Source organism: Homo sapiens, chromosome 12 (assembly GCF_000001405.40).
Source record: "Homo sapiens chromosome 12, GRCh38.p14 Primary Assembly".
NCBI lineage: Eukaryota > Metazoa > Chordata > Mammalia > Primates > Hominidae > Homo > Homo sapiens.
The window spans coordinates 92,895,728-92,913,610 of record NC_000012.12 but is presented as its reverse complement, the minus strand read 5'-3'; the positions used below and the strand labels follow the sequence as shown (position 1 = coordinate 92,913,610).

The 17,883-nt window shown below is 40.4% G+C and overlaps 1 protein-coding gene across 2 annotated transcripts in view, besides 1 other annotated feature; it reads left to right on the top strand.

Moving 5' to 3' along the window:
- EEA1 (early endosome antigen 1) overlaps nt 1-17,883 on the top strand; it is a 158,659-nt gene that overhangs the window by 15,685 nt on the left and 125,091 nt on the right. The window lies entirely within an intron of this gene.
- Nucleotides 4,231-4,431: a silencer, noted in NCBI's record as "peak1889 fragment used in MPRA reporter construct". NCBI's record gives its function as "represses an SCP1 promoter by STARR-seq MPRAs in K562 erythroleukemia cells {active_cell/tissue: K562}" and the evidence as "EXISTENCE:reporter gene assay evidence [ECO:0000049][PMID:32103011]".

The following is a 17,883-nucleotide window of genomic DNA, read 5'->3' as shown; positions in this document are numbered from 1 at the left end:
CTCTGGACATTAGCCTGGGCGAAGAATTTATGACTGAGACCTCAAAAGCAAATACACAAACAAAAATAGAAAAAAAATGGGAATTAAAGTAAAAATTGTCTGTACAGCCAAAGAAATAATCAACAGACAACCTACAGAATGGGAGAAAATGCTTGCAAACTATTCATCTGACAAAGGACTAACATCCGGAATCTACATGGAACGCAACAAGAAAAAAACAAGTCCATCAGAAAGTAAGCAAAGGACATTAGCAGATATTTCTCAAAAGAGGACATACAAGTGACCAACAAACATGAGAAAATGCTCAACATTGCTAATCAGAGAAATGCAAATTAAAAATGCATTGAGATACCATCTTACACCAGTCAGAATGGCTGTTACAAAAAATTAAAAAACAAAACCAACAACATGTTGGTGAGGATGTGGAGAAAAGGGAATGCCCATACATTGTTGATGGGAATGTAAATTAGTACAGCCTCTGTGGAAAACAGTATGGAGATTTCTCAAAGAGCTAAAAACAGAACTACAGTTCAATCCAGCAGTCCCAGTACTGGGTATATATCCAAAGGAAAACAAATCACTGTATAAAAAAGACAGCTGCACATGGCTATTTATCATGGCACTTTGCACCACAGCAAAGTCTTGGAATCAACCTAAGTGTCCATCAACAGATGATTGGATAAAGAAAATGTGGTTTCTGTATACCATGGAATACTGCTCAGCCATAAAAAAGAATGAGATCATGTCTTTTGTAGCAACAGGGATGGAACTGGAGGCCGTTATCCTAAGTGAAATCACTCAGAAACAAAGTGAAATACTGCATGTTCTCACTTATAAGTGGGAGCTAGACAATGGATACAGATAGACGTAAAGATGGAAATGGGGAAAGGGTGAGGGTGGGAGGAGAGTGAGGGATGAAAAATTACCTATTCTGTACAGTGACATTATTAGGGTGGTGGGTACACTAAAAGCCGAGACTTCACCACTATACAATATGCCCATCTAACAAAACTGCACTTGTACCCACTAAATCTATAAAAAGAAAATAAGGTGGAAAACAGAATGGATGATCTAAGGTACCTTCAGTCATATTGCTGGTTTTATCCATTGGGCCACATGTGTCTAAGGCTAGTCTGGGTTTATGTGGTGGCAGAGGAGTTTCCAGCAACAAGAGAACAAATCCCATTGTGCAGACAGACGCCTTTCAAGTCTCTGCTTGTGTCTCATTTGCTACTACCATTAGTCAAGGCAAGTCTCATGGCCAGCCCAGAGTTTATGTAGGGGAGGATTACATAAGAGAATTACAAGGGCATGAAAACATAGGCCTGATTCATTGATGGTAATTACCATAACAAACTACCACTGACACCACTTTGTTCTTCCTTGTATTATGAGTAAGTGCTGCAAGAGGAAATATAAATAAGGGACGTAGTCGAGTTTAAAGGATGGAAAGACTTCTTATTTGAGTAAGAACATTCAAAGAAGATTTTATGATGTCATTTGGGTTAGATTTCAGCAGTATTTGCAAAATGATCTTCTAAATCTTTCATTGCTTCTACATATATTAACTGAAATTTTTTCTGTAAAGAACTTTTCGATATCAACCAGGGCTATTTGGTTATCCCAAATTTCAGTGCATACTTGGAAGGCAGGATAAAGACTTAATTGTTTTTCATTGATTACTAAGTGTTAGAATAAGAGTTGGTACACTAGCTACTCCAGCAGTGATCACTGAGGTTTTCTTAGTTTTCTTTTGATTTTCTCTTTCTTGAGAAAAGGAAATTCATAGATTTGAAAAACAAGTTACTTTTTAGAGCAGTTGTAGGTTTACAATAAAATTGAGTGAAGGTTACAGAGATTTCCCATGTACTTCCTGCCCCTACACATGCATAGACTCCCCCATTATCAACATTCCCCACTAGAGTGGTACATTTGTTATGATTCGTGAACCTATGTTGACATATCATTATCATTTAGAGTCTGCAGTTTACAGTAGGGTTCACTCTTGGTGTTGTACATTCTGTAGATTTTGGGACAAATTTTTAGTATCTACCGTTATAATACCATACAGAGTACTTTCACTTCTGTACAAATCCACTGTGTTTTGCCTATTCATCCTTCCCTTCCCCTTAACTCTTGGCAAACATTGATCTTTTCACTTTTTTCATAGTTTTGCCTTTTCCAGAAATCCATATAATTGGAATCTTACAGTATGTAGCATTTTCAGATTGGCTCCTTTCACTTTGTATTTCACTTAGTAATATATGTTTAAGTTTCTTCATTGTCTTCATGGCTTAATAGCTCATTTCTTTTTAACGCTGGAGAATATTGTCTGGGTGTACTAGTAAGTTATTGATTCACCCGCTGGGGGACATCTTGGTCAATTACAAGCTTTAGCTATTATGAATAAAGCTACTTTAAACTTCTATGTCCACGTTTTGGTGTGGACAGAAGTTTTTAGCTCATTTGGGTAAATACCAAGGAGTGTGATTACTGAATTGTATAGTAAGAGTATGTTTAGTTTTGTAAGGAACTACCAAACTGTCTTCCAAAGTAGCTGTAACATTTTGTATTTCCACCAGCAATGAATTCCTGTTCCTATTTCTCCACATCCTTGTCAGCATTTGATGGTGGTAGTGTTCTGGATTTTGGCCATTCTACTAGCTGTGTTGTGGTATCCCATTGTTTTAATTTGCATTACCCTGATGGTGTATGCTGTGGAGCAACTTTTCATATGCATATTTGCCATCTGTATATCTTCTTTTGTAAGATGCCTGTCTATTAAGGTCTTTGCCTTATTTTTAAATTAGATTGTTTATTTTTTTACTGTTGAATTTAAAGAGTTGTTTGTATATTTTGGATAATAGTCCATTATCAGGTTTGTCTTTTGTAAATATTTTTCTCCAGTCTGTGACTTGTCTTTTTACTCTTGACAATGTCTTTTGAAGAGCTGACATTTTAAATTTTAATGAAGTCCAGCTTATTAATTCTTTCTTTCATGGATTGCGCCTTTGGTGTTCTACCTAAAAAAATAATGGACAAACCACAGTAATTTCTCCTATGTTATCTTCTAGGGTTTATAGTTTTGTGTTTTACATTTAGGTTTGTGATCCATTTTGAGTTTATTTATTTATTTTTTTTTGAGATGGAGTCTTGCTCTGTCGCCCAGGCTGTAGTGCAGTGGCATGATCTTGGCTCACTGCAACCTCCGCCTCCCGAGTTCAAGCGATTCTCCTGCCTCAGCTTCCTGGGTAGCTGGGATTACAGGTGCGCACCACCATGCCCGGCTAATTTTTGTATTTTTAGTAGAGATGGGTTTCACCATGTCGGTCAGGCTGGTCTTGAACTCCTGACCTCGTGATCTGCCCATCTCGGCCTCCCAAAGTGCTGGGATTATAGGTGTGAGCCACCGCGCCTGACCTTGAGTTAATTTTTTAAAATTAAAATTTAATTAATTTATTTATTTTTGAGATGGAATCTTGCTCTGTTGCCGAGGCTGGAGTGCAGTGGCGTGATCTTGGCTCACTGCAACCTCCACCTTTTGGGTTCAAGTGATTCTTCTGCCTCAGCCTCTCAAGTAGCTGGGATTACAGGTGGCTGCTACCACACCTGGCTAATTTTTGTATTTTTAGCAGAGACAAGGTTTCTCCACATTGACCAGGCTGGTCTCAAACTCCTGACCTCCGGTGATCTACCCTTCTCGGTCTCCCAAAGTGCTGGGATTACAGGCGTGAGCCACTGTGCCCAACCTAAATTTATTAAGGCGGGGTCTCACCATGTTGCCCAGGCTGGTCTTGGGCTCCTGAGCTCAAGTGATCCTCCTACCTCGGCCTCCCAAAGTGCTGGGATTACAGGTGTCAGCCACCATGCTCGGCCACAAGCTTGTCTTTATAACAAAGCCATTCCCATGATAACTGATCCATGTTCACAATAATGGCAATCCATTCATGAGGGTGGAACTCCCATGACCTAGTCACCTTTTAAAGGCCTCACTTCTCAATACCATTACATTTGCAATTAAATTTCAACATGAGTTTTGGTGGGGACATTCAAGCGATAACAGCTATCTTTTCTCATTTTATTGCCTTTGTTCCATTGTCAAAGATTAGTTGACTAACTCATGGATTTTTATATTATGAACTCACGGATTTACATATGTTTAGCATGTTTCAGTCAATTACAGTCAATGTGTTTTGCTGATGTGAAAATGATCTCAGCTTTAGCTACTGGGAGTACCTTCAAGGTGACGTTTGTCATTTTGACAGGACCTTATTTGTGTTCAAAAAGCTTCCTTGCTTTTTGGCACAATAATATGTTTCAGATTTATCTTGTAAATTCCCTCTCCCATGTCTGGAATCAGCCATTTCTCTAGAAAATTCTGGTTCCTTTGAGTGGGGAGTGATGGTTAGAGACCATAGTATAAGCACGTAGGGTGCGCTTTGCTTTTGGGTTGTCTTTGCTTTTAAGCTTTTGAATGATAAGAATTATTGTTAAGAAACAGGGCTGGGCGCGGTGGCTCATGCCTGTAATCCCAGCACTTTGGGAGGCCGAGGCAGGCAGATCACAAGTCAGGAGTTCAAGACCATCCTGGCTAACACGGCGAAACCCCATCTTTACTAATTAGCTGGGTGTGGTGGTGCACGCCTGTAATCCTAGCTACTCAGGAGGCTGAGGCAGGAGAATTGCTAGAACTTGGGAGGCGGAGGTTGCAGTGAACTGAGATTGTACCACTGCACTCCAGCTTGGGTGAGAGAGCCAGACTCTGTCTCAGGAAAAAAATGAAACAAAAACCCAAATGATAATTCAAATTTAAGATATAAAATGGTTTTTTACTTATTTGATTCTGTATTTATATCATTTTTTCTTATACTGAATATCTTGGTTCTTAACATTAGCAAATGTTTTTTGCTAAAATATACATAAATAGCTTTAAAATTAACAATATGAATATTATGGCTAAGATTATTGAATTAATTTTACTGTTTCTTTTTTTAGCAATTTTTTTTGGCTTTGTGCTATATCCCAAAAGGATATGTAGTAGAAACTCTGCATTCTTAAATACTTAAAATAATTATTTTGTCTGTATGGTAATGCCTGCAATATAATACTTATTTAGGTTTTAAAAAAATTTTTTTTAAATTATGACAAAATATACGTAATTTAAAAGATACAATTTTTACCATTTTTAAGTGTATAATCCAGTGGCATGAAATGTATTCACGTTGTTGTACAATCATTACAACTAAACTCCATACTCATAAAACAATAACTCTTCATTCCTCCCCTCCCCTGAACCCACTGTAACCACAATTCCACTTCCTGTCACTATGAATTTAACTGTTCTAGGTACCTCATATAAGTGGAATTATACGATAGTGATCCTTTTGTGTCTGGTTTATTTCACTTAGCATAATTATTTCTAGCTTCATGTTGCAGCATGTTATCAGAATTTTCTTCCTTTTAAAGGCTGAATAATATTTCATTGTGGATGTATATACTACCTTTTGTTTATCCATTCATCCGTTGACAGACATTGGATTATTTACATGTTTTAGCTATTGTGAATAATGCTGCTATGAACATTGGTGTGCAAATATCTGTTTTAGTTCATTTAGGTTTTAATTTTTGTTTGTTTGTTTGTTTGGAGACAGTCTCACTCTGTCACCCAGGCTGGAGCGCAGTGGTGTGATCTCAGTGCACTGCAACTTCCGCCTCCTGGGTTCAAGTGATTCTCCTGCCTCAGCCTCCCAAGTAGCTGGGATAACAGGTGCCCATCACCATGCCTGGTTAATAGTTCATTTAGGTTTTAACTGAAGTTCTTGATAAATGAGGATATTATTGACTAAGCTGGAGAACATAGTGAGGAAAGTAAACTTTTTCCTAGGATGGTAAAGTGTTGAGATGAATGAAGAGTTTGGTTTGGTTACAATGCTTTGAGAAATCCATTGCTTGATTTCTTAGTAAACAACTACAAATGTGGATGTAGAGGTATAGAGTGCTATATTAGGTCTCTTTTATCGTCCAGGTGAGAGATGATTGCAACATGAATTAAGGTAGTGGCCAAGGAGATGGAGAAAGGGGGATAGATTCAAAATTTAAGTGGGCAGTTGAATTAACTTGGTGATTGGATGTGAAGGTTAAGGAATAGAGACAAGTAAGAGTGATGCCTTGGATTTAGGCAAAATGAGTGTGTGATGGTTCTATAATCTGAGATGGAGAATGTAGATGGGTGAAAGCTTTGAGCAAAGATAAATGAATTTGGTTTTGAATAAGCTGACTTTGTGGTGCTCTCAAGGCATTCAATTAGATATATTTGGCAGGACAGGAAAATATGAATTGGAAACTCAGCAAAGGTCTGGATTAAAGTTAGTGTTTTATTATTTTCAGCAATGGTGTTAATGAAAATTAAGGGAGTAAATGAATTTACCTAAAGAGTATGTGATAAGCTAAGAGGTCAAGTATGAAAACTCCCTGGGAACCCCTCAATTACTTTACATGAATTTTTTTTCATGAAATAGTATTTGTTATTTGCAAAGATAACTTCTCGCTTTATCTATATGTTACGTTTTTAGCTCTTAATAGTAGAAAAGGGTTAGTGAGAGCCCTTTGTCTATCCATTTAGTATAAGGCTTGCATAATGTATTTAAAGCATTGTTCTTAAGGTCTGCATATAGTAAATGGCTTTTCAAACTTTTTGTGAAAATCTTTCTAATTTGTTTTTATGGTGGGATGCAGATGAAATAGAGTAACAAAATCAGTGTTGAAAGTTACATTTTATTTAATTTTTTTTTTATTTTGAGACAGAGTCTAGCTCTGTCACCCAGGCTGGAGTGCAGTGGCGCAATCTTGGCTCACTGCAAGCTCCACCTCCTGGGTTCATGCCATTCTCCTGCCTCAGCCTCCCCAGTAGCTGGGACTACAGGCGCCCGCCACTATGCCCGGCTAACCTTTTTTGTGTTTTTAGTAGAGACGGGGTTTCACCGTGTTAGCCAGGATGGTCTCGATCTCCTGACCTCGTGATCCGCCCGCCTCGGCCTCCCAGAGTGCTGGAATTACAGGCGTGAGCCACTGCACCCGGCCCCTAAAGTTACATTTTATAAGAAATCCTTATAGATAGCTTATAAATCCCCAAGGTTTTGAGTTGTATATTATTTAATTTCTAATACTTGTATCCTTTCCAGTTTTAGAAAGAATTTTGCTTAAAGAAAATTAGCCAGGGCCAGGCATGATGACTCATGCCTGTAATCTCAGCCCTTTGAGAGGCTGAGGCAGGTGGATTGCTTGCGCCTAAGAATTTGAGACCAGCCTGGGCAACATGGCAAAACCCCGTCTCTATAAAAAAAATACAAAAATTAGTCAGGTGTGGTGGCATGTGCCTATAGTCCCAGCTACTCAGGATGCTGAGGTGGGAGGATATCTTGAACCCAGGAGGCAGAGGTTGCAATGAGCCGAGATTACACCACTGCACTCCAGCCTAGGTGACAGAGTAAGACCCTGTCTCAGAAAAAAAAAAAAAAGAAAAGAAAAGAAAAGAAAATTAGCCAGGTGTGGTGGCACTCATCTGTAGTCCTAGCTACTCAGTAGGCTGAGGCGGGAGGATGGCTTGAGCCCAGGAAATTTGAGGCTACGATGAGCCATGATTGTGCCACTGCACTTCAGCCTGGGTCACAGAGTGAGATTTTGCCTATTAAAAATATATATATATATATGTCTAAATTATACTCAGTAAACAACTAGTCTGCAATAGATAAATCATTTATTTCAAAAAAGTTTTAGGTTGTTAAAACTTCTGTGACAGTGATATTTCTTTTTAAGATATTGCATAAGTAAACAATAACATTTTTTCTCCCAGTAAAGTGCTGTTCTTTCTCAAATTTGTGTTTGCTTCTTTGATAGTTTTTTGCAGAGATTAATGCGGTTTTATACTGATCTTGTAGTATGAATTTGTTTTTATTACCAGCAGTCTAGGATATCCTGTTTATTGCAGACATCTGTTCTTTTTTTTTTGAGACAGAGTCTCTCTGTCACCTAAGCTGGAGTGCAGTGGCGTGATGTCGGCTCACTGCAACCTCGGTCTCCCGGGTTCAAGCGATTCTCCTGCCCTGGGCTCCCCAGGGGATTACAGGTGTGTGCCACCACGCTCAGCTTTGTGTGTGTGTGTGTGTGTGTATTTTTAGTAGAGATGGGGTTTCACCATGTTGGCCAGGCTGGTCTTTAACTCCTGACCTCAAATGATCCGCACGCCTTGGCCTCCCATTGTTGGGATTACAGGTGTGAGCTACCACACCCAGCCAACATCTGTTCTTATTTGAAGTAAATACTTGGAATACTATGTATTTTTTTCATAATTTCAAATATTGATGTAATATTGTTATAATAAGAAATATATATTTGGTCTTTTTTCTTGTTTCTGGCATGGAGCTCCTAAAACTTGGAATTCCTTGAGTGATGGAGGTGAAAGGAATGTCATTTGTCATTCATAATAAGTACCTTTTGGCAATACCTGAGTTTATGCTAATAAGGTGATATTGATGGGCCCCTAGATAGCTTCAGGTTGGGGACTTGTTGCCATAGACACTAGCCACAAGATTAAGGCTATGGAACTTTCGACCCTACCCTCTGACCTTCAGGCATAGAGAGGGGCTAGAGATTGAGTTAATCACCAATGGCCAATGACTTAGTCAATCATGCTTACATAATGGAACCTCTGTAAAAACTTTAAACAGTGATTTTGGAGATCTTCCTGGTTGTCGAATGCATTCATGTGCTGGGAGGGTGATGTATCTCTAAATTCATGGGGACAGAAGCTCCTGTGCTTGGGAGCCCTGCAGACCTTCCCTTACATACTGTTTCATCTGGCTGTTTATTTGTATCCTTTAAGATATCTTTTAGAGTAAACATAAGTAAAATGTTTCCCTGAGTTCTTTGAGCTGCTATAGCAAATTATCAAACCTGAGGAGGGGAGTTGTGAGGGTTCCCGACATGTAGCCAAAGTAGACAAAAGTGTGGGTAACCTGGGGACCTTTTATTTGCTATTGGTGTTAGAAGGGGAGGGCAGTCTTAAGGGACTGATCCCTTAGTCTGTGAGGTCTGTGCTAATTCCAGATAGTGTCAGAATTCAATTAAATTGTGGGACATACAGTTGGTGGCTGCAGAGAATTGGTGTGGAAAACTCAAACATTTGTTCAGAAGTATAGTGAATAGAGAAATAGTTTTGTTGTAGCTGGTTTTCCTTTAGTTGGTCTGTTTGGTTGTAGCTACTTAAACATTAATGGTGAGTGTTTGATAATTAGAATTCTCTGGATCTTTTTGTCAAGGCCAAATGGTTTTTTAAAAATCGGAAAACTTTTGGCCAGGCATGGTGGCTCACGCCTGTAATCCCAGCACTTTGGGAGGCTGAGGCTGGCAGATCACCTGAGGTCAGGAGTTCAAGACCAGCCTGACCAACATGGAGAAACCCCGTCTCTACTAAAAATACAAAATTAGCCGGGGTGGTGGTGCATGCCTGTAATCCCAGCTACTCAGGAGGCTGAGGCAGGAGAATCGCTTGAACCCGGGAGGCGGGGGTTGTGGTGAGCTGAGATTGCACCATTGCACTCCAGTCTGGGCAGCAAGAGAGAAACTCCGTCTCAAAAAAAAAAAAATCAGAAAACTTTAAAAAGTAATATGACAACACTAACAAAAAATTATGGGTGGAAGTAGGTGGGTGGTTAATAAAATCATCTTAACACAAATCTCATCTATTCAGTAATATGAGGGGGAAAAGTAGCAACAAAAAAATCATCCTAACATAAAACTCATTGGTCTTATATGATTACCTTTTAATCTCTTTATGTGTATGTATTTTTATGTAATTGAAGTCATAATATATACAAATGTTGTATTTACCTCTTTGACAAATTCAGGATTTATATCATATACATTCTTTTCTTTCTTTTTGTTTTTTCTTTTTTTAATTTCTCACAATAGATGTATCATATATCATATGCATTCTCATTTTTCTTTTTTTTTTGAGATGGAGTTTTGCTTTTGTTGCCCAGGCTGGAGTGTAATGGTGCTATCTCAGCTCACCACAACCTTCGCCTCCTGGGTTCAAGTGATTCTCCTGCCTCAGCCTCTCGAGTAGCTGGGACTACAGGCACGTGCCACCACGCCTGGCTAATTTTTATATTTTTAGTGGAGATGGGGTTTCTCCTTGTTGGTCAGGCTGGTCTCAAACTCCCGACCTCAGGTGATCTGCCTGCCTCAGCCTCCCAAAGTGCTGGGATTACAGGCGTGAGCTACCGCTTCCGACTGCATTCTCATTTTTCTACATAACCTTCATGCTTTTATAACCTACACACTTATCCCATTAATTGTCAAGACTGTTGAACAGGCCGGGCGCGGTGGCTCATGCCTGTAATCCCAGCACTTTGGGAGGCCGAGGTGGGCGGATCACGAGGTCAGGAGATTGAGACCATCCTGGCTAACACGGTGAAACCCTGTCTCTACTAAAAAATACAAAAAAAATTAGCCGGGTGTGGTGGCGGGTGCCTGTAACCCCAGCTACTTGGGAGGCTGAGGCAGGAGAATGGTGTGAACCCGGGAGGCGGAGCTTGCAGTAAGTCAAGATCGCGCCGCTGCACTCCAGCCTGGGTGACAGAGCGAGACTCCGTCTCAAAAAAAAAAAAAAAAGACTGTTGAACAGTTACGTCGTAGTTTAGTTAACAGTTTCTTCATTTTGAACATATAGGTTGCTTATGATTTATAAGCTGTTACAAATAATGCTTTGGTTGGAATGCCCTCTCATCTCTACCTGGAAAAGCTCTGCTCAAACTTTGGGCCTAAACAGTGTGTGGCAGGATTTACAGCCTTTTTTTTTTTTTTTTTTAAGACAGAATTTCGCCCTGTTGCCCAGGCTGGAGTGCAGTGGCACAATCTTGACTCACTACAACCTCTGCCTCCCAGGTTCAAATGATTCTACTGCCTCAGCGTCCTGAGTAGCTTGGATTACAAGCGCCCGCCACCACACCCAGCTAATTTTTGTGTTTTTAGTAGAGACGGGGTTTCACCCTGTTGGCCAGGCTGGTCTCGAACTCCTGACCTCGTGTTATGCCCACTTTGGCCTCCCAAACTTCTGGGATTACAGGCGTGAGCCATCGCACCCGGCCGGATTTACAGCTTTTTAAAGAGTTTCTATTCATTGCAAGGGATAGTTGCCTTGCCCCGCTTACTAAGTTCTCACAGTGGGCCTGGCTTCTTGTTACCTTGCGCATCCAGGGCGTTTTTGGTTCTTATTACTGAACTTAGCTGCCTCTACCTGTTTTAGGTTCCAGAATCCTGGATACTCTATGTTTCCATTTTATTTTTGGTCCATTGTGTACCTTGTTTTTAAGATTGGTTCCATCTTAATAATATTTGAAATTCTTTTTTTTGTGGAGACAAGGTCTTACTCTGTTGCCCAGGGTGGAGTAAAGTGGCATAATCACAGTTCACTGCAGCGTTGACTTCCTGGGCTCAAGTGATCCTCCCACCTGGACCTCCCAAAGTGGTGGGATTACAGATGTGAACCATTGTGCCCAGCCTATCACTTTAAATTTTTAGCATAAATCATTCCAATCCCATTCTTTTTGCAAAATAAAACTTTTATAAGTGAAAAAGTTAGAATGCTTTATATGCTTTATTTAGGGTTAGTGTTATTGTTTTTGGGCTTCTCCTTGAAATAAAGGAATTTTAGTGGCTTAAAAATAGAATAAGAATGAAGGCTGGGTGCGGTGGCTCATGCCTGTAATCCCAGCACCTTAGGAGGCTGAGGTGGGCGGATCATCTGATGTCAGGAGTTTGTGACCAGATTGACCAACATGGAAAAACCCCGTTTCTACTAAAAATACAAAAAATTAGCTGGGCATGGTGGCGTGCACCTGTAGTCCCAGCTACTTGGGAGGCTGAGGCAGGAGAATCGCCTGAACCTGGGAGGCAGAGGTTGCAGTGAGCCAAGATAATGCCATTGCACTCCCGCTTGGGCAACAAGAGTGAAACTCCGTCTCAAAAAAAAAAAAACAAGAAGTTCTTAGATAATTTAACAGCAATCATGAGGAGTATATTTAAAATATGGACATCAAAAACCCCTGACTTGTGAGGGTTTCCTTGTTTTTTTCTCTGTTTACTCCCCATGCCTCTTGGGCTTTACTTAGGTATATTTACTAGGATTATTGTAGGCAAATTTGAGAAAGGGTATTTTTGGTGATGATAATAGGTTTATGTAGAAGTACCTTATTTCAGGTGGCCATGGTGGCTCACACCTGTAATCCCAGCACTTTGGGAGGGTGAGGCAGGAGAATCACTGGAGCCCATAGGTTTGAGATGAGCCTAGGCAACATACAGAGACCTCATCTTTACAAAAATAAAAAAAAGTACAATATTTCTTTGAATTGCTTACTTCGGCTCAGTCAAGGAAAACCTTGGTGAAAAGCCATCTGGCATCTGGAAAAATAAAGGAAACAGAAATGAGGAAAATACAGTTCTTTGGAAGTATAACTTCCTGTTTCCAGTGTCTTTCATTGTTCTTAATACCATCGTAGTGTGAAGTTATTGAAATGTTAATGAATCAAAAATGAATTTCTAGTTTTATAGAACGGTTCTTTATATTAAATATCCAGTTTAGGCTGGACGTGTTGGCTCGCGCCTGTAATCCCAGCACTTTGGGAGGCTGAGGTGGGCGGATCAGTTGAGGTCAGGATTTAGAGACCAGCCTGGCCAACATGGTGAAACCCTGTCTCTACTAAAAATACAAAAATTAGCTGGACGTGGTGGCGGGCACCTGTAATTCCAGCTACTGGGGAGGCTGAGGCAGGATAATCACTTGAACCTGGGAGGCAGAGGTTGCAGTGAGCCAAGATCACACCATTGTACCCCAGCCTGGGTGACAGAGTGAGACTGTGCCTCAAAAAAATAAAACAAGACAAAAAAAAAAAACAACTACAAAAAAAAATTTAAATGCTCTTTTAAAACATTTTCGCCATTTACTTTTTGCCACATCCATGAGTGTATCATTAAATCCAGAGCTGGCTTTTATTTATTTATAAATTCATGTCTCAATTATATTATTTTGGGAAAGAATTTTGCTTTGGTGTTTGCAGAACTGTAGCTGATATTAAAACAAGAAAATTTTGTGGGCATTAAATGTAAAAAAAAAAACACACAGTAAAGACATACTCTGGATAAATTTAGACAGTTTTAGAATGTTAGATTTTGGGAAAGTTTAAAGGGACTGTAGAGACTGAGGCCTGCTCTTCCATACTATACTAGGAAATCTGAGATTCCCTAGGCTAAGAACAACTTGAGGACTTTATTTCTGAAGGCCATTGAATGCCTTTAGATAAGTCGAGGGGAGAAATCTGAAATGAGTATATCTCCTGTATCAGTGATAGCTAAGGATACGTCATTGGAAACAGTCAGGGTGCTAACTACCATTTTAAAAATATCATTTGACTTTTGGTCCCTTTTGTTGTGATTCCTTGTTTCTGCAAAGCTGGCTAGGATCAGCATAGTAGGTTTTAAAAAAAAAGTCCTCAGTGACAGACTTTAGGAATCTCCAGTCTCCCAAACATGTCACTAAAGACTTGAACGTTCATCACCAAATACTCAAGATGTGGAAGATAAATTCCACCCAAGGGAGAATGGAAGTTCACCCTCTGAAGAGAAGTTTGGAATCATTATCAGAGCCATTGGAGGAGACACCCAAGAGTCATGTGGCTGAGGTTTCACAATATCCTGCTGTGCCTCCAGTCCAGAAAAGAAAGCTAGATCAACTTCCAAAAAAGCATAGGCATTTTAGGAAGATTGTAAGGACAAAGAAAATGAGAACGAGCAAGAGGAAGGAGAAAGTAGAGGCCCACTGCACCCTCTCCCCTAATTCTTCCAACACCTTTTGTCCCACTACAAAGTGAAGAGACCAGATTAAAAGCTGACCCTATTCAGTGCCCAGGAAGATGATCCTAACTTTCCCAATGAGGACAGATTACAGTGTCAGCAGGATGAATGTGCCTGTGTAATGCATCAGGAATGTCAAATCCAGCCCTCTGAGCTCTCAGTGACTCAGGAACCCAGGCCTTCTGCCATGACATCCTTGGCATCACTGCTTTGATTATTTCACAAGCTTTGTCTGCTTGTCTAGAAAGTGGAAACCTCCCAGAAGAAGGGTCAGCGACCACGCTGAGGCAGGAGGTAGTGCTCAGGCTCCAAGACCTGGCAATAAAGTGCAGCCTCTCTAAAGCCTGTAGCAAATTGAAGTTAGGCTGAAGTGAGATTTGATCTAGATTGGTGGTATCTAAAATTCATGTTTATTTCACTCATGTATTCAGTTGGCTTAACCTTCTCTGACTTCTCTGAGGATGAAAGCCTTACAATTTCATCATTTCGGGTAGTGGGTACTGTCTCCTGGTATCGACAACCAAATGGAGACCCCTCATATCCAGCTCCTCTCATTTTTTTTTTTTTTTTGCCTTTGGCCAGAGATTCATTTTGCATTCTTCATCTTTAGTACTTTATTGAAATTCTGCCACTTTCTACCTGTTTTGGATAAGCCTTGGTGTGGTGGTTGCTACTATTCTTGGACAGGATACAGTTATTGCCTCCTCCATCTCTAAACAATGTTTGTGGTTTTTTTTTTTTTTTTCACTCATGAGTAAGATACCTGTCTCTTTCTGAAGTGTGCCTCTGATGTTCTCTAGCCATCTTTATTGAAACATAGGCTGGATGCAGTGGCTCATGCCTGTAATCTCAGCACTTTGGGAGGATGAAGTGGGAGAAGGATCACTTGAGCCTAGGAGTTCAAGACCAGCCTGGGCAACATTCTGAGACCCCTGTCTCTAAAAAAAAAAAAAAAAAAAAAAAAAAAAGGGAAAAAAAGGAAAAAAAAAAGAAGACATAGTTACACAAGTAATGTTCCTTCTTCTTTTTTTTTTTTGAGATGGAGTCTCGCTCTGTCACCCAGGCTGGAGTGCGGTGGCACGATCTCGGCTCACTGCAACTTCTGTCTCCCAGGTCCAAGCAATTCTCCTGCCTCAGCCTCCCGAATAGCTGGGATTACAGGTGTGCACCACCATGCCCAGCTAATTTTTGTATTTTTAGTAGAGATGAGGTTTCACCATATTGGCCAGGCTGGTCTCAAACTCCTAACCTGAAGTGATCCACCCACCTCAGCCTCCCAAAGTGCTGAGATTACAGGCGTGAGCCATTTCACCCAGCCATAATGTTCCTTCTTTGTCATTCTTTAGTTGACAGAACCTCACAGAACCCTGAGTTCTTCTGAGAATCCTAAAGAACATAAGTACTTTAAAAAAGGTTCAAGATCATTTTATTTCCCCTTTGTCATGGCATGCTAGGTTAATACTCTATCCAGAATATAAAATAAAAGTTTAATCTTATACCCTTCTTTGAGGAAGTATGTTTGAGAAGAGTTTGGGAATTTCTCTGTAGCTTTAATTACTGGTTGTTATTTTGTACTTGTTCTAGTTTCCTGATTTATATAAAAATTATACAAGTATATAGGCATACTTGTATATAGGCATATCTTGGAGATATTGCGGGCTTGGTTCTAGATCACTGCAATAAAACAAGTATCGCAATAAAACGAGTCACATAAATTCTTTGGTTTCACAGTGCATATAAAAATTATATTCACGGCATACTGTAGTCTATTAAGTGTGCAATAGCATTATGTCTAATAGATACTTTAATTAAAAAATATTTTATTGCTGTAAAATGCCAACAATCGTTTGAGCCTTCAGTGATTTGTAATCTTTTTTCTTTGATGAGACAGAGTCTCGCTCTGTCATCCGGTCTATAATGCAATGGTGTGATCATAGCTCGCTGCATTTTTGAATTCCTGGGCTTAAGTGATCCTCCTGCCTCAGCCTTCCTATTGTCACTGGTAGAGGGTCGTGACTGCAAGTTGTCCAGATTCTTGGCGTTTTGAATAAAGAATTGGACAAAACGCCCAGCAAAGCAAAGAAAGAATGAAGCAACAAAAGAACGAAAGCAGAGATTTATTGGAAACGAAAGTACACTCCACAGTGTGGGAGTGGGCCTGAGCAGCAGCTCAAGGGCCTGGATACAGCATCTTCTTGGGTCCAAATACCCCCTAGACGTTTCTGATTAGCCACTTCACGCTCACCTCATGTAAATGAAGTGGTAACCCACATTCAGTCTGATTGGTTGCAGAAAACAGCCAACCAGAGGCTGAAGTAAAGTTACAAAGGTCACACTCCTGTGCAAACATCTGATTGGTTGCAAAAGGCAACCAATCAGAGCCTAGGGTAAAGCTACACAGTTATACTTCTATGCAAATGAAGACTTGCCCACAATCAGTCTGATTTGTTGTGGATAGCCAATTTCCCATCTGTGCAGAAAAGGTCAAAGGAAAGGTCAAAGGGAGTAGCCTGTGGTCCTTTTGTTACTTAGGTGTGGAAAGTTAGGGTTTTCCTTTCAATTTAGTTCTAGGAAGTTGCCATGAAACAGCCTTAGTTTCCTTGCCTCCAGACCCTATTCTCCTGCCTCACTGGTAGCTGGGACTACAGGTGAACGCCACCACGCCTTGCTGATTTTTGTATTTTTTTGGTAGAGATGGGGTCTCATTATGTTGCCCAGAGTGGTCTCAAATGCCTAGCCTCAAGCGATCCTCCTTCTTTGGCCTCCCAAAGCACTAGGATTACAAATGTGGGCCATCTTGCCCAGCTAGTCATAATCTTTTTGCTTGTGGAAGGTTTTGCCTCTATACTGATAGCTGCTGACTGACCAGGGTGGAGGTTTCTGAAGGTTGGGATAGCTGTGTCAATTTCTTTTTTTTTCTTTTTTTCTTTTCTTTCAGTGGTGCGATCTTGGCTCACTGCAACCTCCACCTCCCGGATTCAAGCGATTCTCCTGCCTCCCTCCTGAGTAGCTGGGATTACAGGCACGCACCACCACGCCTGGCTAATTTTTGTATTTTTAGTAGTGACGGAGTTTCACCATGTTGGTCAGGCTGGAGTTGTGGCATTTCTTAAAATAAAACAACAATGAAGTTTGCTGTTTTGCTTTGATTAACTCTTCTTTTCATGAAAGATTTCCCTGTAGCATGCTGTTTGATAGCATCTTACCCACAGTAGAACTTCCTTCAAAACTTGAGTCAATCCTCCGAAAAGCTGCTGATGCTTTATCAACTAAATTTATGGAATATTCTAAATTCTTTGTTGTCATTTCAACAGTGTTCACAGCATCTTCTCCAGTAGCAGATTTCATCTCAAGGAACCACCTTCTTTGCTCATCCCTAAGAAGCCATTCCTCCTCCATTAAAGTTTTATTGTGAAAATTATCAGTCATGCCAGGCGCGATGGCTCACACCTGTAATCCCGGCACTTTGGGAGGCCGAAGTGGGTGGATCACGAGGTGAAGAGATCGAGACCATCCTGGCCAACATGGTGAAACCCTGTCTCTACTAAAAATACAAAAATTAGCTGGGCGTGGTGGCACGTACCTGTAGTCCCAGCTACTCGGGAGGCTGAGGCAGGAGAATCGCTTGAACCTGGGAGGTGGAGGTTGCAGTGAGCTGAGATCACACCACTGCACTCCAGCCTGGTGACAGAGCAAAAGTCCGTCTCAAGAAAAAAAAAAAAAAGAAAATTATCAGTCGCATCTTCAGGCTCCACTTTTAATTCTAGTTGTCTTGCTGATTCCACCGTATCTGTTCTACTGGAGTCTTGAACCCCTCACAGTCATTATGAAGGTTGGAATCAACTTCTAAACTCTTGTTAGTGTTGATATTTTGACTTCCTCCCATGAATCACAAATGTTCTTAATCACATCTAGAATGGTGACCTTTTTAGAAGGTTTTCCACACACTCTGCCCAGATCTGTCAGAGGAGT